The 25,155-nt window shown below is 40.0% G+C and overlaps 1 protein-coding gene and 1 pseudogene across 48 annotated transcripts in view, besides 1 other annotated feature; one reads left to right on the top strand and one right to left on the bottom strand.

Moving 5' to 3' along the window:
• The window catches only part of APBB2 (amyloid beta precursor protein binding family B member 2), a 404,516-nt gene that overhangs the window by 95,733 nt on the left and 283,628 nt on the right, over window positions 1-25,155 (top strand). For 42 of the 48 annotated variants that reach the window (XM_047450191.1, XM_047450181.1, XM_047450169.1 and 39 more), the window contains one exon: window positions 18,060-18,171. The exons of the other annotated variants lie outside the window; for them this stretch is intronic. The gene's annotated coding sequence lies outside the window, so the exon portion shown is untranslated. The remainder of the gene's footprint in view (window positions 1-18,059; window positions 18,172-25,155) is intronic. 48 annotated transcript variants of the gene reach the window in all.
• Window positions 4,766-4,868, bottom strand: RNU6-1195P (RNA, U6 small nuclear 1195, pseudogene; annotated as a pseudogene).
• Window positions 23,156-23,315: an enhancer, noted in NCBI's record as "active region_21504". NCBI's record gives its function as "activates an Ori minimal core promoter by ATAC-STARR-seq in GM12878 lymphoblastoid cells {active_cell/tissue: GM12878}" and the evidence as "EXISTENCE:reporter gene assay evidence [ECO:0000049][PMID:35858748]".

The following is a 25,155-nucleotide window of genomic DNA, read 5'->3' as shown; positions in this document are numbered from 1 at the left end:
AGATAGTACAGGGTATCTCAATACTCCCTCACCTCCCTTTCTCTTTTTTTGTATCTTAATATGGTATGCTTGTTATAATTAAGCTATATTGATACGTTTTTATTAACTAAAGGCTATCAGATTTATTCAGCACATATAAAAAGTACCACATATAAAAACCTTCCTATATGAAGCTGGCCTAATAAATCACCATCAGTGATAGTAACTCTTTTTTTAGATCAAACTCCTGGAAAACTACAGATGTGATAACAAGCGTCACAGACACATAAATATTTAATAGATGCCATTTGATAATATTAATGACAATAATTAACAGCATTCGGGTATTTGACGGTTTGTGTTGCATGCTGTAATTTAGCCTCATAAAAATACCATGATATGGGTGGTAAAGGTATCATCATCATTTTATAGATGAGGAAAACGGAGGCTTAGAAATTGAAGTCAAGACACAGAACTCATTCAAATCCACGACTAGTGACTCTGTTCCTCAAGATCCTTCAAGGCCTGGCTCCATGTCAGCTCATTCAAATCCACGACTAGTGGCTAATTAGATCAGATTTCCTTAGGGTTTTTTGTTTTTGTTTTTTGTTTTTTGTTTTGATAGGATCTTGCTCCATCACCCAGGCTGGAGTGCGTGGTACAATCATGGCTCACTGCAGCCTTGATCTCCCAGGCTCAACTGATCTTCCTTCCTCAGCCTCCTGAATAGCTGGGACCACAGGTATGCCCCACTGCTCCTGGCTAATTTTTTTTTTTGTTTTGTTTTGTAGATACAGTTTCTCCGTGTTGCCCAGGCTGGTCTTGAACTCCAGGGCTCATGTGAGTCTCTCCCCACTTAGCTTCTCAAAGTGCTGGGATTACAGATATGAGCCACTGCCCTCAGCTAGATTTCCTTAGTTTTGACCTGAGTCAAATACTGTCCTTTTTCATTTGCCACTTTATCCCATCATGTAGAACAGTTGCCTGACACATAGTGACTTTGCACAGATGTTGTTGAAATAAAGATGCTCTGCCTGCCCTTGAGTTGGTATAATAGAGTAGGGAAGGATCAAGCCATGGTGCAAATGACACCACACTAGCGCTTAGGAATTTGGAAGCAGATGGGGCTGAGTGGGAATGAACCCTGGCCCTACCATCCACCAATCCTATGACTTGGGCAAGTCACCCATCCTCTCAACCTGTTTTCTCACCTGTGAAAAGAAGATGATAATAATTCCTAGGCCAGGCGTGGTGCCTCACGCCTGTAATCCCAGCACTTTGGGAGGCCAAGGCGGGTGGATCACAAGGTCAGGAGTTGAAGACCAGCCTGGCCAAGATGGTGAAACCCCATCTTTATCAAAAATACAAAAATTAGCTGGGCGTGGTGGTGGGCACCTGTAATCCCAGCTATTCGAGAGGCTGAGGCAGGAGAATTGCTTGAACCTGGGAGGTGGAGGTTGCAGTGAGCTGAGATTGCGCCACTGCACTCCAGCCTGGGTGACAGAGTGAGACTCCATCTCAAAAAAAAAAAAAAATAATAATAATAATAACAACAATAATAATTCCTACCTCATTGAGGTAGGGATTAAATGAAAGAACACATATGAGAGTTTCCAGACTCTGGCCTCACCCATGAGAAACTCTTAGTAAATATCTTCTTAAAGACCATGCAGGACAGAATGTGATACCTGTGATGTGAGCTGCAGAGTGTCACTGAGAGTCAGAAAAGAGGGGATCGCCTAAAGTTGGGATGGGGGGTTAGGAAAGCTTTCCTAGAGAGGGCAACATTTGTGATGGACCCAAAAGAATGGGTCTGTTCTTAACTGAGGGACAGTGATGGGAGAATAAAACACCAGGTTGAGAGACTGTATCTCACAAAGCGACAGAGGTGGGAACGTGTGAGAATGTCTTTTGGAGGAAAGAAAATCACCCAATGTAAGTGGACTATAATTTAATTTGGCAAGACAACACGACGAGAGAGAGAAAGGTGTAAGGCCATAAATGCTTTTGACAGATATATATTTCAGCTTTTCTAAAAGTTTTCAAGTATAGAAAAAAGAACAGTACAATGAACACCCATATAACCCCCCTCATTTATACAATTATTAACATTATTTGCTTTCTGTATAGAAATCAATACATATTATTTTTTGCCAAATCATTAAAAATTAATTATAGCTAGCATGACTTTATTTTTTTGAGACAGAGTTTCGCTCTTGTCGCCCATGTTGGAAAGCAGTGACGCGATCTTGGGTCACTGCAACCTCTGCCTCCCAGGTTCAAGCAATTCTCCTGCCTCAGCCTCCCGAGTAGCTGGGATTACAGGCACCCGCCACCATGCCCAGCTCATTTTTGTATTTTTTTAAGTTATACTTTTAAGTTCTGGGGTACATGTGCAGAACGTGCAGGTTTGCCACATAGGTATACACTTGCCATGTTGGCTTGCTGCACCCATCAACCCGCCATATACATTAGGTATTTCTCCTAATGCTGTCCCTCCCCTGGCCCCCCACCCACCGACAGGCCCCGGTGTGTGATCTTCCTCTCCCTGTGTCCATGTGTTCCCATTGTTCAACTCCCACCCATGAGTGATAACATGCAGTGTTTGGTTTTCTGTTCCTGTGTTAGTTTGCTAAGAATGATGGTTTCCAGCTTCATCCATGTTCCTGCAAAAGACATGAACTCATCCTTTTTTATGTCTGCATAGTATTCCATGGTGTATATGTGCCACATTTGCTTTATCCAGTCTATCATTGATGGGCATTTAGGTTGTTTCCAAGTCTCTGCTATTGTGAACTGTGCTGCAATAAACATACGTGTGTATGTGTCTTTACAGTAGAATGATTTATAATCTTTTTGTATATACCCAGTAATGGGGTTGCTGGGTCAAATGGTATTTCTGGTTCTAGATCCTCGAGGAATCGCCACACTGTCTTCCACAATGGTTGAACTAATTTACACTCCCACCAACAGTGTAATAGTGTTCCTATTTCTCCACATCCTCTCTAGTATCTGTTGTTTCCTAACTTTTTAATGATCGCCATTCTAATTGGCATGAGATGGTATCTCATTGTGGTTTTGATTTGCATTTCTGTAATGACCAGTGATGATGAGCATTTTTTCATATGTTTGTTGGCTGCATAAATGTTTTCTTTTGAGAAGTGTCTGTTCATATCCTTTGCCCACTTTTTGATGGGTCTTTTTTTGGAAATTTTTTTAAGCTCCTTGTAGATTTTGAATATTAGCCCTTTGTCAGATTGATAGATTGCAAAAATTTTCTCCCATTCTGTAGGTTGCCTGTTCACTCTGATGATAGTTTCCCTTGCTGTGCAGAAGCTCTTTAGTTTTAATTAGATCCCATTTGTCAATTTTGGTTTTTGTTGCCATTGCTTTTGGTGTTTTAGTCATGAAGTCTTTGCCCATGCCTATGTCCTGAATGGTATTCTCTAGGTTTTCTTCTAGGGTTTTTATGATTTTAGATCTACGTTTAAGTATTTAATCCATCATGAGTTAATTTTTGTATAAGTTGTAAGGAGAGGGTCCAGTTTCAGTTTTCTGCATATGGCTAGCCAGTTTTCCCAGCACCATTTATTAAATAGGGAATCCTTTCCCCATTGCTTGTTTTTGTCAGGTTTATCAAAGATCAGATGGTTGTAGCTGTGTGGCGTTATTTCTGATGCCTTTGTTCTGTTCCATTGGTCTGTATATATGTTTTAGTACCAGTACCATGCTGTTTTGGTTACTGTAGCCTTGTAGTATAGTTTGAAGTCAGGTAGCATGATGCCTCCAGCTTTGTTCTTTTTGCTTAGGATTGTCTTGGGTATACGGGCTCTTTTTTGGTTCCATGTGAAATTTAAAGTAGTATTTTCTAATTCTGTGAAGAAAGTCAATGGTAGCTTGATGGGGATAGCATTGAATCTATAAATTACTTTGGGCAGTATGGCCATTTTAACAATATTGATTCTTCCTATCCATGAGAGTGGAATGTTTTTCCATTTGTTTGTGTCCTCTCTTATTTCCTTGAGCAGTGGTTTGTAGTTCTCCTTGAAGGGGTCCTTCACATCCCTTGTAAGTTGGATTCCTAGGTATTTTATTCTTTTTGTAGCAGTTGTGAATGGGAGTTCACTTATGATTTGGCTCTCTGTTCGTCTATTATTGGTGTATAGGAATACTTGTGATTTTTGCACATTGATTTTGTATCCTGAGACTTTGTGGAAGTTGCTTATCAGCTTAAGGAGATTTTGGGCTGAAATGATGGGGCTTTCTAAATACACAATCATGTCATCTGCAAACAGAGACAATTTGACTTCCTCTCTTTTTATTTGAATACTGTTTATTTCTTCCTCTTGTCTGATTGCCCTGACCAGAACTTTCAATACTATGTTGAATACGAGTGATGAGAGAGGGCATCCTTGTCTTGTGCCAGTTTTCAAAGGGAATGCTTCCAGCTTTTACCCATTCAGTATGATATTGGCTGTGGGTTTGTCATAAATAACTCTTATTATTTTGAAATACGTTCCATCAATACCTAGTTTATTAAGTTTTTAGCATGAAGAGGTGTTGAATTTTATCGAAGGCCTTTTCTGCATCTATTGAGATAATCATGTGGTTTTTGTCATTGGTTCTGTTTATGTGGTGGATTACGTTTATTGATTTGTGTATGTTGAACCAGCCTTGCTTCTCAGGGATGAAGCCAACTTGATCGTGGTGGATAAGCTTTTTGATGTGCTGCCAGATTGGGTTTGCCAGTATTTTATTGAGGATTTTTGCGTTGATGTTCATAAGAAAAATATGGAACGCTCCATGAATTTGCGTGTCATCCTTGCGCAGGGGCCAGGCTAATGTCTGTGTCGTTCCAGTTGTAGTATATGTGTTACTGAAGCGAGCACTAATTTTTGTATTTTTAGTAGAGACAGGGTTCACCATGTTGGCCAGGCTGGTCTCAAACTCCTGATCTCAGGAGATGCACCCACCTCTGCCTCCCAAAGTACTGGGATTACAGGCGTGAGCTACCGCACCTGGCCTGTCATGACATTTTAACCCTCAATACTTTAGCATCCATCTCCAAAAAAATAAGGAAGCTTCATAATAAAAGTACACCACCATTATCATACCAAACAAAATTAACAGTAGTCCCCAAATATTACTTAATATTAGTCCATAATCAAACTTTCTAAATTCATTTCCCAGACCTTTAGTGTTTTAACAAAATTTTAAACCAGAATCCAGGCAAAAGGCTGTGTATTGTATTAAATACACAATCATGTCATCTGCAAACAGAGACAATTTGACTTCCTCTCTTTTTATTTGAATACTCTTTATTTCTTTCTCTTGCCTGATTGCCCTGGCCAGAACTTTCAATACTATGTTGACTAGATGAGTGACAATTTAGTCAAATTGTCCCTGTTTGCAGATGACGTGATTTTGTATTGCATTGTTATGCCTCTTACCTCTCTTTAAATCTAAAATTCCAGCTATGATATTGAGATTTTTAGGATTTGGAACATTGAAAAGATTATGGAGCTTTCCCCCAACTCAGATATCCCTATCTAACACCAAAATAATTCAAAAAAGAAACAATACTGAATTTCAAAGTAAATGTAAGGAAGTCCATATAAATTCAGATATTTTTTCTCTCATCAGGTTGGTGCCTTTGATACTAGTTTTGCAATTTCAGGTAATCACATTTTTAAACTCAGCATATGCTTGCTTTCCTTCAGTTAAATAACCCAGCCCTGGACTCACAGAATTCAATAGACATACAGTGGCTCGTTGTTTTCTGTTGAGCTGAATATCTGGTATGTCTAACCTTCACAGATATGAAACCACATTGTTTTTTTTTTTGAGACAGAGTCTCGCTCTGTCGCCCAGGTTGGAGTGCCATTGTGCAATCTCGGCTCACTGCAACCTCCGCCTCCTGGATTCAAGCAGTTCTTCTGCCTCAGCCTCCTGAGTAGCTGGGATTACAGGTGCATGCCACCACACCCGGCTAATTTTGCATTTTTAGTACAGATGGGGTTTCACCATGTTGGTCAGGCTGGTCTCGAACTCCTGACCTCATGATCCACCCGCCTTGGCCTCCCAAAGTGCTGGGATTACAGGCGTCAGCCACCACGCCCGGCCTGAAACCACATTCTTAATAATGCTGTGTAGACCCACAGAAGTGATTTTTGGCTTCATTGTATTTACAGGTTTTTTGAACCCTAGGTTCCAACCTTAGTGGAATTTCATACAGAATTTCACAGTTTTTCTTTAAGGAAAAACATCAGGTAGGACTGTGGGCAGAACTATAGTATGAAAACCCATATCCTGCAGTGAGAAACTCTTACCTGGAAGCGGGAAAGGAGTAGAACGCAGAGTGTGCAGGGCGCTGCCAGGCCTGCTATAACCAGGAGTGCCCTGCATAGGCCATGGGATGGTTGGGTGCCTTCTTTTTGGCCCTGCCTGTATCCCAGATACTTGTGGCCAAGCAAGTCCCTGGAATTGTTGCAGGCATTGCAGTGGGAGTGAAATGCCCACCAGCTGGGCTACATCTTCCACGACTGAGGGAATATAACTTGGTATTCATTGGAACTCCACTGAAGAGAGGTCGGGTGCTTTGGGAGTGTTTTCTTGCAAATATGTGCCCTCTAATTGCCTTTTCCTAATGATCTCTCCTCATTCTGCTTTGGAGGTGGGGTTTCTCCAAGGATCATTTCTTTTCCACCTCACCTGCAGGTGCACAGTGAATGATGCTTTAATTTATTTCATTTCACCTTGCTGTGGAACTCAGCCCATCCCACCTCTGCTGTGAGAAAAGCATTTCCATCTGTTTCAACTTTCCTGTGGTTCTGTTGACCCACTTGGAAGAGCTCCAGTGTAGTGCCTGCTGGTTTTTTTCTATCTGCCCTTAATTTGGTTTGCCTTTTATTGTATTCCAACTGAACGGATTCTTTCTCTTTCTTTTAAGGGAAAGGACCTGAGAAAAACAATACTTGTAATGGCGACTGCTTGTTAAGGGTAATTGCTGTTTCATGTTAATTTGCATGTTAAAATGAGAATATAGGGAATTGCTAAATTCACCAACCTGTTCTATCCCAAGGCTAGTCCTTTTAAGTATATTTGTTGCTTAAATAAAGATGGAGCTATGCAGAATGGAAATGTCCAAATATGCAGTTTTTTTTGTGCATGTATATATAGAGAGAGCATTTAAAATTTTTATTTCCATCAGCAAGAGTCATTATACAATACATGGAAATTACAGAAAAGCAGAAAGAAGAAACCCAGAGACAACTAGCATTAACATTCTGTGAAATTATGTCTAGTCATTTCAATCTACATGTTATATACTCTTTAAATGGGAATAGTTTCACTATAACTGTCTAGAACTTTTTGCTACTCCAAAGAATGTTCTGTGGATCAGCAGCATTGCTATCTCTTGGGAACTTGTTAGAAATGCAGAATCTTGGGCTCCACCACAGACATACTGAATCATAATTTTTATTGATTGCTATTACATATACATTAAAATTTGGAAGCACTCTTCTGCAAATGGGGTCCCCAACCCCTAAGTTTTGGAGTGGTACCATTCTGTGGTCTGTTAGGAACAGGGCTGCACAGCAGGAGGTGAGTGGCAGGTGAGTGAGGAAAGCTTAATCTATATTTCCAGCTGCTCCTTATCTCTTGCATTACTGCCTGAGCTCCGCCTCCTGTCAGATCAGCAGCAGCATTAGATTCTCATAGGAGCACAAGCCCTTTTGTGACTTGTGCATGCGAGGGATCTAGGTTGCCCACTCGTTATGAGAATCTAATGCCTGATGATCTGGTACTGTCTCCCATCACCCCCAGATGGGATGTCTAGTTGCAGGAGAACAAGCTCAGGGTTCCCACTGGTTCTACATTACAGTGAGTTGTATAGTTACTTCATTATATATTACAATGTAATAATAGAAATAAAGTGCACTATAAACATCATGCATTTGAATTATCCTAAACCCCTCCAACCTCCCCTCACCCTATTGGGGAAAAATTGTCTTTCACGAAACCAGTTCCTGGTGCCAAAAAGGTTGGGGACCGCTGCTCTAGAACATACTATACCCAGGGCAGCATGTAGAGAGAACACAAAGTAGAGGGGATGCAAAGGGGCTCAGACCTATATTCTCTTCTCCATTTTCTGTCAGTCTTGCCTAAAATAATTTTTGTCAGTACATGATAAGGATAAAAATGAGGTCTTTTTTTTTTTTTTTTTGAGACAGAGTCTTAACTCTGATGCCCAGGCTGGAGTGCAGTGGTGCGATCTCGGCTCACTGCAACCTCTGCCTCCCGGGCTCAAGTGATTCTCCTGCCTCAGCCTCCTGAGTAGCTGGGATTACAGGTGCCCGTCACCACACACAGCTGACTTTTATATTTTTAGTAGAGATGGGGTTTCACTGTGTTGGCCAGGCTGGTCTCGAACTCCTGACCTCATGATCTACCCTCCTCAGTCTCCCAAAGTGCTGGGATTATAAGCGTGAGCCACCGTGTCCGGCTGAGGTCAAATTTTTTAACAGGGTACGACAACCTTGTTGAGAAACACGACTGTGCCATGTGTAATCATTTCACTCAGTAAACACTAAGTGCCTCCTGCGTGCCAGGCACATGTGTGGCAGCCACGGGCCTTGCATTCCGGCTTGCATGTGCTGCAGTGGAAACATACAGAGGCCAAGGAGGAGGGAGTGGTTGCTTCTGCAGGGATGGGGGCTGTAAATTAGAAAGAAAGGTGGTCTCTGGGTGGAGTCTTGATGGATAAATCAGTTATCATAAGTTATGAGTATTACCAGGTTCTGGAGAGAACACAAAGATGATAAAATTTGTCTCATCCTTCAAGGACCTTATGCTTGGTTAAAGGACAGGAGACAGTGTTTAAAACTAAATAATACAAAGCACCTTGATATTAGGGTAGAACCAGAAGACAAGGGTCTGAACATTAATTTTTTAGCTCCGTGACCTTTGACAAATTATTCCACATGTTGGAACATCCGATTCTTCTGTAAAATAGGGATAAAATGATATAAACACCTTTATAAAATCATATTGCTTTCTTGGCCAGGCGCAGTGGCTCACGGCTGTAATCCCAGCATTTTGGGAGGCCGAGGCGGGCAGATCATGAGGTCAGGAGATCAAGACCATCCTGGCTAACATGGTGAAACTCCATCTCTACCAAAAATATAAAAAATTAGCCCAGTGTAGTGGTGGGTGCCTGTAATCCCGGCTACTCGGGAGGCTGAGGCAGGAGAATGGCGTGAACCTAGGAGGCGGAGGTTGCAGTGAGCCAAGATCACGCCACTGCACTCCAGCCTGGGTGACAGAGCGAGACTCCATCTCAAAAACAAACAAAAAACAAAACAACCAAAAATTAGCTGGGCGTGGTGGCACGCCCCTGTAGTACCAGCTACTTGGGAGGCTGAGGCAGGAGAATTGCTTGAACCCGGGAGGTGGAAGTTGCAGTGAGCCAAGATGGCGTCACTGCACTCCAGCCTGGCGACAGAGCAAGACTCCGTCTAAAAAAAAAAGAAAATTATAGTGATTTTTTTCTTTTTTTAGTGTAGAGAGATAGGGTCTTGCCCTGTCGCCTAGGCTGGAGTGCAGTGGCACAATTGTAGCCCATTGCAGCCTAGAACTTCTGGCCTCAAAGGATCCCCCACCTCAGCCTCTTAGAGTGTCGGGATTACAGCGAGAACCATGGTGCGGGACCTGTAGTGCTTTTTAAAGTGAAATAACATAGCAAAGCACTGGCTTGCAGTGGATGTGGAATCAATGCTGTGTGGCAAAGATATTTAAAAAGTGCCAAGTGAGCACCATAGATGGAAAATTGAGGAATAACAGAGAAAAAGAGAGAGTATTTTGACTTGGAGTGTGCGAGGCCATGTGGCCTGTGTGGCCTTGAGGATGCTGATGAGGCAGAGAAGGTATGAAGAATGGGCCAGTGGGAAGAGAAGCAAAAGAGGAAGCTGCAGTTTTGAGACTGGATAGACCAAGAAAAGAGATAGGAGAAACAAGGGGTTGGGTTTGTTGGGGTGATGTCTGTCTTAGACATGTCAGGTTTCAGGGACTGCTGAAGGCTGTAGGCCTGGGTGCGTGTGTCAGACACTGCCCTTGATGCAGGCTCAGCCAGGGGTGGGTGAGGAATGAGGTCCTTGGCCCTCCCTGGGCAGGGTGTTTGGTCAGTGTAAATCTGGAAAAGGGAATCTTTCTGACTTGTTGGAAATGTCCGCACCTGCACAGCGTTTCTCACCAGGATGGGAAACACAGGCTGAATGTTTTAAACCTTGAAGACCTACCTCTTCTTCAGACTTGGGTAGAGGAGAACTGAACTTTTCTGTGTAATTTTTACCCACTGTCATCCTCTTCCACGGGTCTCTTTTTTTTTCTTCTCAACGTTCTTCCTCCCAACTGAGAACCATTAATTGCTTCAGAAAAGAAATAGAATTGGATTTCTTTTTTTTTTAAGAAATGGACTAAATGCTCTAACACTGAAGAACTATATTCCTATGTGCGTCAGTTTCTTTTCAACCATTAGCTCCTTTATGATCTCTTTATACAGGGTGGGTATAGCCCACAAGTAACTATGGTTACTAGTTTTTATAGGTTGTGACCAGTCTGCTGTATAAGGTGTTAACATTTTGCCCAATCTGCCTTATCTCCATCTCTTCTGTTTTTTTGTGTCTGTGTCTCTTTACACGCACACACTTAAAACATGTTTGCTGAACCATCTGAGTTAGTTGTAGAGATTATGACCTTTTCAACATGTATTTCTCAAGCACAAGGATATTTTCCCACATAGCCTATAATAAGATGATCACCAATAAATATTATCTGATATATAAATAATACTTGAATACATGTTCAGATTTCACCTGTTACCCTAATACTGTCTTTTATACCCGCCTCCCAATCCAGGATGAGTCAACAGTCATTCATTGAATTTTGTCTTTTTAGTTTCCTTTAATCTAAAACAGTCACCCTGTTTTTGTTTTGTTTTTGTGGTTCATGGCATTGGTGTCTTGAAAGATACCTTTGTTTTGTAGAATGTATCACAATCTGGTTTTGTGTGATTGTTACCTTATGATTAGATACAGATTAAGCATGTTTGGCAAAAATGCTACATAGTGACTGTGGCGATACCTACTGTTCCATTGTCCTGGAATTGATTATGCCGAGCACCACTTGGTTGAGCTGGTCTGCCAGAACTCTCCGTTTGTAAAGATGCCTTTTCTCTTAGGTAATCTGTGGGGTGATATTCTGAGACTGTGTGTGAGTGTTCTGTCCTACAACAACCCTTTCTAGAATGGTTTTAGCATGTATTAATGATTGTTGACTGAATCAGTGATTGCATTGGTAGTTGCAAAGTGGGATTTTCTTCTGCTCTCCCTTTGATATTTATTAGCTGGCATCCTTTATAAAGAAGAGTTTCCCCCATTATTTTTTCAATGAATATTTGTGGGTTTATGGTTTCTTTTTTAATCCAATGTATTATAGTTCATCAACATCATTCTTTTTTTTGAGAAAGGGTCTCACTGTGTTGCCCAGACTGGAGTGCAGCGGTGTGATCTCAGCTCACTGTAACCTCCGTCTCCCAGGTTCAAGAGATTCTCCCACCTCAGTCTCTCAAGTAGCTGGGACTACAGGCACCTGCCACCATGCCTGGCTAATTTTTGTATTTTTTTGTAAAGATGGGGTTTCACTGTGTTGGCCAGGCTGATCTCAAACACCTGGCTTCAAGTGATCTGCCTGCCTTGGCCTCCCAGAGTGCTAAGATGATAGGCATGAGCTACTGTGCCTGGTCAACATCTTTTTTTTTTTGTTCAAACTGCCCCACTTTTGGCTATGAGGAGCCCTTTTAAAGCTTCTCCTCCTATGTCCTTTTGTCATGTCTGCATTAGCATTTGAGCACTCCCTTGCTTTTTGGCACAGTAAGATGTTCTGGGCTTATCTTGTACTTTCTCTGCCCAGACCCAACTATTTCTCCAGTAAGCAAAAGTATTTAGAAACCAAGATCTAGGTACTTGGGATTTTCTTTAAAAATGTACCTAATCTAGGCCAGGCACGGTGGCTCACTCCTGTAATCCCAGCACTTTGGAAGGCCGAGGTGGGCGGATCACGAGGTCAGGAGATCGAGACCATCCTGGCTAACACGGTGAAACCCCATCTCCATTAAAAATACAAAAAATTAGCCTGGCGTGGTGGCGGGCGCCTGTAGTCCCAGCTACTTGGGAGGCTGAGGCAGGAGAATGCCGTGAACCTGGGAGGTGGAGCTTGCAGTGAGCTGAGGTAGCGCCACTGTACTCCAGCCTGGGCAACAGAGCAAGACTCCATCTCAAACAAACAAACAAACAAAGAAACAAAAAAAAGTGCCTAATCTATAAAAAGTTAAAAGTCATTAATCATTTAAGTTCATCCACCCATTTCCCAAGATTATTCCCTTGGTGGCATCAAGAGTTTTAGATGTTCACCAATGAAGGGAGAAGGCCATCCAAAGTGAAGGTCTTTGGGCTTTGGGCTAGAGGTTGAAGAGGAATGCACAAAGGGAAATGAGATAGTGCCAAAGATTAACTTAGATAACATTGGAATTCTGCCCCAGAAGTGACTTAGAGAGCCTGAGAATATAGTTTCTGTGTGTTTTCTAGGTAGACTCTGAAAATTGGTTACCCTTTTTTATATCCATTAATGGTAAGATAATTTATTCCCCTGAGCTATACATATGCTAATTCTTAAAGCAATTTAAGATGTGTAGTTTCCATGCCAAGAGTTCCTAACTGCTCTGTATTTTCAGAGTCAGTGTAAGGTATGTATATGTGAATGTATATCTCAGCATGTCTTTGAAAAATTAAGATTCATAGTTTTTATTTTGAATACTCATAATTGGACACAGTCTCTGGATTTTCTGGTTGATTATAATAGTTGGTTAATTCTTTTTTTTTTTTTTTTGAGACGGGGTCTCGCTCTGTCGCCCAGGCTGGAGTGCAGTGGCGCTATCTGGGCTCACCGCAAGCTCCGCCTCCCGGGTTCACGCCATTCTCCTGCCTCAGCCTCCTGAGTAGCTGGGACTACAGGCGCCCGCTACCACACCTGGCTAATTTTTTTTGTATTTTTAGTAGAGACGGGGTTTCACTGTGTTAGCCAGGATGGTCTCAATCTCCTGACCTTGTGATCTGCCCGCCTTGGCCTCCTAGAGTGCTGGGATTACAGGCGTGAGCCACTGCGCCTGGCCAATATTTGGTTAATTATTAAAGGTGCATATGCGCAGCATTTTAGGCAGCAACTTGTGGGACACAAAAGCCAGGAATTTCAAAATTTCCAAAACAATCATTGTGCATTTGATATAATGATAGAGTCTCTGAGGAGGCTGTAAACCTTAAATTGACTGATTTGTCTGGAGCTCCATATTTCTTCCATGATATTTTTATATATAATAGCATAATTAAAATATTTATTTTGCCTTTTCTATTTGCTAAAATGAAACAAAACATGTAGTAATTTGGTAGAGAACCTATATGAAAATGCTAAAAAATACAAAAGCACATTTGAAACATAAGGGTTTGTTTTTGTTTTTCATCGGTGTCAGCATTTTTGGAAGTAAAAAACAAAACAAAAATAGACTATACATCTATGCATTGTATATCAGGGATATGGTTATTATTCAGCTATGTATGCTGAATGTTAACTGCTTTATAATTTTATAAAACAAAACTACCACCCTCTCCTACACATACAACCACTGACTTTCAATCCTCAGCACATTCTTGAGAGTGGGAGTCCTATTAAAGTAACTGCCCTATATGAAGTAGTTACTGGGTGTGCAGGTATGCCAGGAAAGCTAAATTGAAAGTGAAAAGGGACACATCACTTAAATATGCTGCTAGTGCACTACTCACAATAGCAAAGACATGGAATCAACTCAGGTGCCCCTTGACAGTGGACTGGAGAAAGAAAATGTGGTACATATACACACTAGAATACTATGCAGCCGTAAAAAAGAACTAAATCACGTCCTTTGCAGCAACATGGATGGAGCTGGAGGCCATTATCCTAAGAGAATTAGTACAGGAACAGAAAACCAAATACCACACATTCTCGCTTGTAAGTGGGAGCTAAACATTGAGTATGTATGGACACAAAGATGGAAACAGTAGATACTGGGACCCACTTGAGGGAGGAGAGTGGCAGGGCCAAGGGTGGGAGGAGGGTGAGGATTGCAAAACTACCTATTGGGTATTATGCTCATTACCTGCGTACAAAATAATCTGCATACCAAACCCCCACGACACACAATTTATCCAGATAACAAACCTGCATATGTGCCTCTGAACCTAAAATAATAGTTAGAAAGAAAAAAAATGAATAGATTAAAAATAAAATAAATGTACTCCTAGCCAAGCATGGGTGAGTGAACTCAGATGTGTGGTGGCCAAGTTGTCCCAAATTGGCCCTTGATTCCTGTATATCCTCAGCCTTCAGTTCTTAATGTGATATCAGTGTGTGGGATTAAACTAAGCACACTCATGACTAAAAGAGTCACTGTTTTTGGCAAGTATTTAAAGTCAGTTTTGTTATTGGGAAAATTTTAATATAGCCACGTTCTTTTGGAGGTTACAAAGACCAATCTCTCTTTTCTTACTTGCTATTTAAAACTCCTCAAACTGGAAGTTTATCCGCATGCCCAAATGCATCCCTCTTTGTATTTGTTTAATCTTGATCTTGTTTGAAAGGAGCTTTATCCAGAATACAATTTCTTTATTCAGAATGAAATTTCTTTCAGATATTAGGACAGCTTAGATACAATTATATAATTAAAAATCTTTCAACTGGATTTTACTAAATCCATGACTGTATTAGCCTGTAAAAGCAAATTATATTTTGGCCTCTGTAATGGGTTTATAAACTTTAAACATCCCTATTGGGACGGACTGTATTTGTCCTTGAATTATGAGATAGAAAACACTTTCAGAGGTCCAGCCGCATGACTGGACCTATTAATACTTGTGATTGACAAGGAAGCTCCTGATGTTCTTGTTTTTTTGGCTAGCCTTCATTCTATTGGCTGGATTCACATGTGACGTTAAAGTGGGGGTAAAAAGGATGTTCCCACTAATGCAAAATATAAAGAAAGTAAAAATTACTCTGTTGTAATTCTACCATTTGTAACTAGCAGTTTTTCAAATGTTGGCTTTTTTTTTCTTTCTAGTCTTTTTTCTTATAAACAAAACTGGGAAGATGAGTATATTACATTATAGTCTACTTTCTCAATACTGCTTAAGAACATTTTCTCCTTTTATTAAATATTCTACAGATTTTAAAAAACTATCCATTGTTGAGTATTGTGTTTTAAAAATTATTTATAAGAGTATTACTTATAATAGAAAAATTCCTTGTATATATCTTTATGCCTATCTTGAACTCTTTAAAAGAAAATTTAGAGTCTTTTTAATTTATTGGTTTTTAAGAATGAAAAGTAATTCCATTCATTTTGTCCTTTCCAGCAATTATGGTTAAGCTGTCTTGTCTGCAAGAATCTATCTTTATAACACCGTCATCTTGATCTGTCCAAAATGGTCCTGTAATACCTCCTTTAACAACTTTAGGGAATCTTACATAAATAAATTTATCATGTAACTGAAGCTGACCCTTAAGTGTCTATGGTTGGTAATTGTAAACATTGTGAAAGACAATCTTTTTTAAATTGCATTACAATATGTTGCTGTCCTCTTAAACATAATGACAAAATATGAAAATCACAATTTCACCCCTTCTGGATAAATAACAAGTATCTTTTATAAACACTAGTTATTATGTAGTCAATTCTGATAAAATGATCTATGTGTTCTTAAAAACCACATTATGCAGAATCCTGCAGTAAAACTCACAGTGCTTAGGAGAGGAATGCAGTTGGGGACACAATACTCAAAAAACTATCAGTGACACATTAAAAAGGGATGGGAACTGAATAAATACTGTTGCACAAATTTTTCACATACTAAATGGTTAAATACATAAATAGTGCAATAAATATGGTACTTCAACTCGAAAAAGTCCTGACATTTGCTTGTGAACTCGTGCTTTAGAAGGGTTGCCACTTAGGAGTTATTGTGAAGTGGTGGCAGACGGATTACCTGAAATCAGATGGAGTCGGGATACCAGATATGGCTTGGTGTGGCTCATAGCACACTGGTGGAAACCGAAGTCACCGGTAGATGTTTGAGGCATGGACTGTGTTCATTCTGTGTAACCATATGCAGCTGGTTTTGGCCCAAGTGCAGCCTTCTGCGATAACCTAGTATTCTTGCAGTGAAATCATGCATAAAGAAACATGAAATTCGAGTTACACTCAAATTGTTCTCTTGAAAAAACACAAGCGTTATAGCAGAACTGAGTGTGCTGTATGGTAATACAGTGATGCCCAGGGGATAGGTGAAATGTGAAATTCTGCTTGTCCCTATCTGAAGTAGAGTTAATGCATGTAAGACACAGAGAAGAACCTGGCATAAGAGTTAACAGTATATAAATGTTGGCAGTAACAATGGCAATAGTAATAAATGATGCTTATGGTGTTTGCAGGGTTCTGTCTGATTTTTAGTTACAACTACTTGCTGTAGCTGTGCCCTCTTTCTAATTGATTTTGCAGTCTCCTGTGGCTTGTAAATGAGTGTATCACGCTTCTTAGAATTACGTCTAGTAGAAGTCCTGTAATAGGAGAGCCCGAGGGGTATGCCGACTTTAGGTTATAGGTTACATATGGCATCTGTTTTGCCTACTTAAACTATTTTATCTTATTAATGATTTTATTGCCTTAGAATCCATTTGCACGATTGTTGGGGAAGTAACATGTTTTTCTTTTTCTTTTCTTTTTTTTTTTTTGAGATGGAGTCTCGCACTGTCACCCAGGCTGGAGTGCAGTGGCATGATCTTGGCTCACTGCAACTTCCGCCTCCCGGGTTCAAGCGATTCTCCTGCCTCAGGCTTCTGAGTAGCTGGGATTACAGGCGCATGCCACCACGCCTGGCTAATTTTTTGTATTTTTAATAGAGATGGGGTTTCACTATGTTGGCCAGGCTAGTCTTGAACTCCTGACGTCGTGATCCGCCCGCCTGGGCCTCCCAAAGTGCTGGGATTATAGGTGTGAGCCACCGTGCCTGGCCTAGAAGTAGCGTGTTATAAGTGAGGTTAGAATTGTCAGATTTTCTGTTTCATTAGGAAAAAATGAACACGGCTTTCTCTTCCCATTCTTATCTGCAGAAATTAAGGTGTGCTTAATACATTTGAAGAGTATTTAAAAGTTGTTGATAACTTTCCTTAAGTTGTTGTGATTCACTTCTTTTTTTTTTTTTTTTTTTTTTTTTTTTTTTGAGACGGAGTCTCGCTCTGTCGCCCAGGTCGGACTGCGGACTGCAGTGGCGCAATCTCGGCTCACTGCAAGCTCCGCTTCCCGGGTTCACGCCATTCTCCTGCCTCAGCCTCCCAAGTAGCTGGGACTACAGGCGCCCGCCACCGCGCCCGGCTAATTTTTTGTATTTTTAGTAGAGACGGGGTTTCACCTTGTTAGCCAGGATGGTCTCGATCTCCTGACCTCATGATCCACCCGCCTCGGCCTCCCAAAGTGCTGGGATTACAGGCGTGAGCCACCGCGCCCGGCCGATTCACTTCTATTTACAACTACTTCTGTGTTGATAAGATGAGCTCATGTTTGGAAGTGGGAACTGGCAAGTGTGATTTCGGAAGACCTTCCTTCCCAAGTCACAATATAATTAGAAGTCCAGATTCTCCCTCGGTTCCTTTTTGTGACTCCCTGAGAAAGACATCTTTAACAGGAGTGGTTGCCAAGAAGCCTCACTAGTTCCTGCTTTTGAAACTTTAATAAGGCGACAGATCGAACTGCCATCTAGATTTAGAAAGCCTTGTTAGTATATTATGAAAGAAAAATAGTTTACATTTCTCATCATTTAAGGATCCCAATGACATCGTTATTTTGTTGATGCAGAGATACTCTGAATGACAGTCGGGTATTTTGATTTTTCATTTCTGATATGATTTTGAATTTAAAATTTTTGTCTCTACACACTTTCTAGATCGATCTCTTTGGGCTGCCTGACCTCCTTGGGTGCTTGCTATTAATTAACAGACTTTGTGGGGAAAAAAAGGAGCTTGCCTTCTGAGCTTTGTACCAAAGACCTGGGAAAAGTAAGTAATTTTAAACTTGCTTTTAAAAAATTCTGTTATACCTCTCTCAGAAAGTTAACAATAGATCCATGGCTTTTTACTTTCTTTCATTCCTGGCTTAATAAATTTTATATGTTTTCATGGATTTGTAACATGGAAGGAGACTCAGGAAACCTCTTTGTGTAAAAAAAAAAAACTTGCAAGAGATTAAGATGATGTTCTACATTGTGCCATTTCTTTTGGGTTTCATAAACTGAGTCCTCAAGGTTGTGACAAAACTTTTATCAGATTTGCAAGTGATTAAACATCAAATACAAGGCAATGTAATATGATGTGACAGAAAAGTGAGTCCAGTTGTCTGAGCTTTCAGGTGTTTTAGACTTTTAGATATTTTGGATAGGCTTTTTGGTTCTGAATTTTTAGAATAAGTATGAAATCGACTTGGTTCTTTTCTTGTCTGGAAAGGAAAGCAAAATGTGGAATTGCTTGTCCAATAAATTCTTCATGTAGCTTTGTCTTGGAAGAATTGATGCACCTCCCAGTTTTATTTTAGAATTTTTTTGAGGGCACTATAAGACATTCTAATTGAGACACTTGTTGAATGTTTTTGCTGTCTTTTAGAAAAAATTGCTTGGAACCAGAAAATTCAGTTTTATTCTCTTATCTTTTTGAAAAATGGACCTTACAGATCTATAAAGTCGATCTGTTTTTTTAATGGATACTGCTTGGAATTATGAGTGACCAAATGCCCGTAACAATATATGCAAAATAAAATATGCACGTGCACGCACAGAAACATACACAAATATCCTCTCTAGCATGTTCCAGAAACATTATCGACAATAGGAATTGTTCTTCCATTAAATTACTAGATAGCTTTCTAAACTTCCTATGCTTTGTGTCTTATAGCTCCACTCTATTTCTGGCAGTATAAATGAGTTAGTTGAAGCATGTTTAAAATAAAACAAGACAGAACAGAACTTTGCTTTAGTTCTATGAAAGCATTAAATAGTAAGATCGGATTTTATAGCTCTGTTGTTATTGTATTTACTATAAATTTAATTATTATTAAATTGGGTTTTATTTTGTAATAATTATAATAAGGTAAGGGTCTTGAGTTTTGAAGCTTATTTGAAGTTAAATATTTGTACTGAAAAAATAAATATTTTGGGAGGCCGAGGTGGACGGATCACCTGAGGTTGGGAATTCGAGACCAGCCTGACCAACATGGAGAAACCCCATCTCTGCTAAAAATACAAAAAAATTAGCTGGGTATGGTGGTGCATGCCTGTAATCCCAGCTACTCGGAAGCCTGAGGCAGGAGAATTGCTTGAACCTGGGAGGCGGAGGTTGCAGTGAGCCAAGATTGCGCCACTGCACTCCAGCCTGGGCAACAAGAGCGAAACTCCATCCCAAAAAAAACACAAAAACCATATACGTGTGTGTGCAACACACAAACACACATACACACAGACATAGACACTGCACATACACATGTAATTTCTGAGGGATGTCAAGTCTCTGCTAAAATATGAATTAGTTGAAAGTAAGGAAAATCTCACCCAAAATATATTTTTTTGTTACAGTGAAATATTTGTAATAGTGAAATATTATTGTCAGTGGAATTTAAAAAAAAAATAGAAATTTGTAGGTTGAATTTTATTGTCTTGTAATCACATGTTAATCTTAAAAGAAATATTTTATGTTGTAATTGTGTGTTGTAGTTGTTATTCCATTTTGGAAGGATATTTGAAAAAGGATTATGTTGGAGGCCACCCAATCTGTCTACAGAAATAGAACAAAAAGGTCAAATGATTGATTCTCTGGACTTCAGGGTCTAGATATTTGCAGTGGTGTTTAGATTGCAAATGTAACTTAGCTTCAGAAAGTAAGCTACTTAAGCTGCCTTTCAAATAAGCTGCCTTTTCAAATCCTTATTTCAAAGAAATAAGCATTTCTTTAAAATTTCACATAGTCTCTAGTGCAGTATTTTCTTTACATTATACCAAAATATTCCCTTTTGGGATACATTGTAGCATTGTTGTAAAAGTTGTGTTTTGATTTTATAGAGGGAAGGCATCTGTGGGACTTGTGTGTTTACAGTAAGCTAAAGACAGCCCTGTGTTACTACAGGGACTGTGACAAAAAGATCTCTGTGTACTAAACTTGATGTTAAGGCCAGACGCCGTGGCTCACTCCTGTAATCCCAACACTTTTGGGGGGCAGAGGTGGGATGATTGCTTGAGCCCAAGAGCTCAAGACTAGCCTGGACAACGAAAGAGACCCTGTCTCTACAAAAAATAAAAAAGTTGCTGGGCTTAGTGGTAAGTGCCTGTAGTCCCAGCTAATCCAGAGGCTGAGATGGGAGGGTCACGTGAGCCCAGGAGTTTGAGGTTGCAGTGAGCTATGATCACACCATAGCCCTACAGCCTGACACTTGAGTGAGATCCTGACTCTAAAAAAAAAAATTAGTAAAAATAAAGTTGATGTTACATGTGAATATTTATATACGCAGAAGGATGTTTACAATGTACCCTTAAGGTTAAAAAAAGAGAAGGTTATAATGCAGAAGTGTACTGCACATAAATCTGATTTTGAAGAACTAGTTAAGTTACATGGAAGTTAATGGGAGGGGACGGGAGGGGAGGGGGGAGGTGTCTTTTCTGATATTTATTAAAGTCATAAGAAAATGTTTCTGACTGCTCTTTGAAAACTGTAAGGGATACTTAAATGTCTTGGTGGTTTCTTTTTGGAAAAGCAAACACACAATTTTAGAGAAAATTCAGAACCCTAGACAACCTCCACACTTCTTTTTAACCTCTGTCCTTTACTTTCACTTTTTTCTTAATTGCATGTGTCTTCAAAGTCTTCCTTGTTTCAAGCATTTCAAGCAATTCAGAAAATTGATTGTTTGAGGTAGATTTTTGGAAACTTGAGTCTATAATGGTGATAAAATATAACCGTACCTTCAAAAAAATTAGCCATGGATTGTTTTAAAGGAAGTAAAATTTGTATTTTATTATCCTACTTAATGCATGTCCATGTTTGGTTTTATGTCAACCCTAAATGAGTATGCAGCAAGTTTTTTGGTAACTTTTTCCACTTAATAATAAATAATGCATATCCATGCTAATAAGTATTTACCTACAGCATCACTTTTAGTGAAAGGGAAACAACTGGATCTTAGCCTTTTGTTTAATTTTGGGCTGTCCTGGCTTTCAGTTAGAAAGGAGTGTAAATATGTGGAATATATGGCATAGGTTTTTCATGTGAGAACAGAACAGAAAAGGATTCCCCATTTAGAATCTTTATGGTGTTTACTGTAGCCAGACATATTCTGAATAGGAGGCTCATGGGTCTGAATATGTGCTCAAAATGGTAAGTGTCACTGGCTGACAGGTGCTGTATATAAAGCTTTGTGTCTTCTTTGGTCCCTTTGTTATATTATACAAGAGCGCAGGTGACATATTCCTCCTGCCGAGCTGTCTTAATCAATATTTCTGTGCCTAAGGGAGGATTTTACCTACGCATTTCTTTCTCCAAAGAAACTCCAAATAGCTCAGATGAAATGATGGTTACAGAAGGAACACTGATAGATTTTGGAATATAATTTATTTATGGAGCAAACTACAGTCCAGGTTAATTGGAGATCCAGAATGTTTTATAAACCTTTGTGTGCATTCTTAATTTTTAGTTCATTTATTGAGCGAACATTTGTTGAGCAACTATTGTGTGCCAGGAGCTCATTATTCAAAGATGAATGAGATATGTCCTTCCTTTTAGGGAACTTAATTTGAGTTTCAAAATTAGATTTAAATAACCTTTATGTAGCATGTACCATGTGAAAAGCAGTGGAATGGACGTTATATTCTTAGACAAGATGTTCAATGACTACAATTCGATAATGATATTTATTGACCTATACCTTTCAAAATAAGTTAGGAATATAGTTTTCTAATTTTTAAAGGTTTTTTTCTCCCATTATGATTTTGGTACCTGCTGCTACTTTTTAAGTTAAATTAGGAAATGGAAAAAGGAAAGTTAAACAAATTACAAATGTTTAATTGGTAAATGTAGAGAGTGGTTTTGAAAACATGGATGTGTGTGTGTACACACGTTTTATATTTGGAAGCCTATATGCATATAGTGTCATCATTTTTTTTCTAGTAGAATATTTCTTAGTTCACATGATACAATTAAATATATTTATCAAGATTTCTTGGTATTTTGCCCTTAGAGTGACTCTGTCGCCCAAGTAAGTTTGGAAGCCATACCGTTAAGCACTTGATGTCCACAGGAATTCTAGGGGTGGGCGTTATTGAAACTCGGGGGAAAAGTAACTTGCTACCTTGATACAGTTAGAACATGTTTGAGTCAGCCTTCCAATTATGATGCATCTCACTACAAAGCCCTGCAGTATCTTCCTGACTCCCATGAGCTGGTGGTGAAAGCTGATTCAAGAATGCTGTAGGTATGCAAAGGACGAGCAGTCATTTCAGCTGAGAAATCAGGAAGTATGTTCACTGCATTGAAGAGCTGGAACTGAAGTATGACTTGAGGGCTGAGTGAGAAGACAGAAAGTAGGGAGATAATTGAGGCTGTAGAAAAAGCATATGCCAAGGCATGGAGGAATGGGAACTCATGGCATATCCAGAGAGTGGCAAGAACTCCACCGTGGCTGGGGTATGGAGCGTGGAGAACAGAGTGGACCCTGAGATCGAAAAGGTGCCAGAGTGAGAAAGGTCACACATGTGCCATGCTAGAGACTTGGAGTTTCTAAACAATAAATAGCCATCCAGAGTTTTAAAAGGAGAAATAACTAGATGGGAGTTTTATAAAGATCACTTGGGCAGTAGTGTGGAATATCATCTGGAAAAGAGAAAACTGGAGGCTGGAGACCCAGGGCCACCATGTGAGGTTGTGTAGATTGTTCACTGCAGAAGTGTACGTGTGAGCAGCAGATGGGAGGACTTAGAACCACCCAGCACACTTGTCATCAAGCTGTGCACTCATGGGGCTTGGCCTGCCTAGAGAGAGCACCTTTTATAATTTACACAATGGGATGATCTACTTGCTTTTAATTGTTTTAAAAGTAATAGGTATGATTAGATAAGATGAAACAGTGTCCCCTAGGGCCTAAGAGTCTGGAGGTGGGCATACTAAGCTATTGGCTGTATGTCAATGGGCTCGTTCCCTGTCCTCTGAAAGCCTATTTCCTCATCTTTAAAGGAGAGTTAATAATAGGTTCTGACAGGGCCCTGGACAGACCAGTTAAGAGAAGGGGTGAAATATGAGAGATGGAGAAATGATAGATCTGGGACTGCAGGCTGCTGCTAGCTGTTGTTTAGCCCTGAGAGTGTGCTGGGAACTGTACTAAGAACTTTGCCTGTTTTATTTTATTTAATCTTATATCTGCTTTCAGCAGTGGATGTTATTACCCCATTTTCAAGATTTTGAAACTGAGCCCCTGGCAGGTAAAATAACTTGTCCAATGTCACACAGCCAAGGAGTGGCATTGTCACTACTTGAACCCACCACTGTAACTGTCATGTTTATGCTCTTAACCATTTTGCCACATTTATAAGTGATCTTTTCTGTTTCACTCCTTTAATATCCTCCTTGCATCCTGTGTTGTTTTTAACTTGAATTGATCATATTTATGTAACATTTTATTTAATTTGCTATACTATAAGATCCCGAGGGCTGGGGTCAGGTCTCATGAATTTTTTTGTCTTTCGTAGCACCTTGCTTAATAAAATATGGCAGATAACACTCAATAAAATGTGGTTGACAGAGGCTGGGTGCGGTGGCTCATCCCTATAATCCCAGCACTTTGGGAGGCCAAAGCAGGCAGGTCACTTGAGGTTAGGAGTTCGAGTCCAGCCTAGCCAACATAGCGAAACCCCGTCTCTACTAAAAATACAAAAATTAGCTGGGCGAGGTGGCATGTGCCTGTAATCCCAGCTACTCGGGATGCTGAGGCAGGAGAATCGCTTGAACCCGGGAGACAGAGGTTGTGGTGAGCCAAGATCGCACCACTGCTCTCCAGCCTGGGTGACAAAGGGAGACTCCCTCTTAAAAAAAGTGGCTGATAGAATTAATAATCTCTAAGATTCCTTCTGTCTTCTAAAGTTAAATAATTTTTCATTCTATAGGTAAAGCTTCAGTTGCAGTTATACAGTTAAAGTCCAGTAGAACTTAAAAAGGGCTTCTTGGATGTTAGTTTGGTGTTTGGACTGATGGTTAAAGTTTCAAGAAATTCCTAATTGCCATTTTATCTGAAAAATAATTTGTGACTTGCTGTCAAAGACTGAAGCGAAGAGTAAAGTGTACTTCTTGCAAGCCCTTTTTGGAGGCTATAAAGCTATGCTTGCTGCTTCATTGCTGCAGCAGGTATAAAACTCCAATGTCATAAATGATATTTTTGAGTTCATAAAAAATATTACATTGTCACTCATATTAGTAAGGACCTCAGTCTCTAAACTCATGTGGAGCCCCTTGGGCCAATGGTCACTTGTTTTTTTCTTCTTCTTATTTTTATTGACAAATAAAAATTGTATACATTTATAGTATACAACATGATGTTTTGAAATATGTATACATTGTGTCAATCCTAAATTAAGCGAATTAACATATGGATTACCTCACATAGCTGACAGTCACTCTTGTTTGGTGCCTGCTGGAGTCAGATTTAGACAACAAAGTGACAGTTAAGGGCAAGTGACTGTCAGATGCCCTGGAGTCAGACTGACTGTATAGGTTTGGATTCCATCTCTTCTGCTTATGAACTTTTTTTTTTTTTTTTGAGATGAAGTTTCGCTCTTGTTGCCCAGGCTGGAGTGCAATGGCACAATCTTGGCTCACCGCAACCTCCACCTCCCAGATTCAAGCGATTCTTCCGCCTCAGGCTCCCAAGTAGCTGGGATTACAGGCGTGCGCCACCACGCCCAGCTAATTTTGTATTTTTAGTAGAAGTGGGGGTTTCTCCATGTTGGTCAGGGTAGT

This window comes from Homo sapiens, chromosome 4 (genome assembly GCF_000001405.40).
Source record: "Homo sapiens chromosome 4, GRCh38.p14 Primary Assembly".
NCBI lineage: Eukaryota > Metazoa > Chordata > Mammalia > Primates > Hominidae > Homo > Homo sapiens.
Note: the sequence above shows the minus strand (reverse complement) of the source record. Positions and strands in the feature narration are given on the sequence as shown.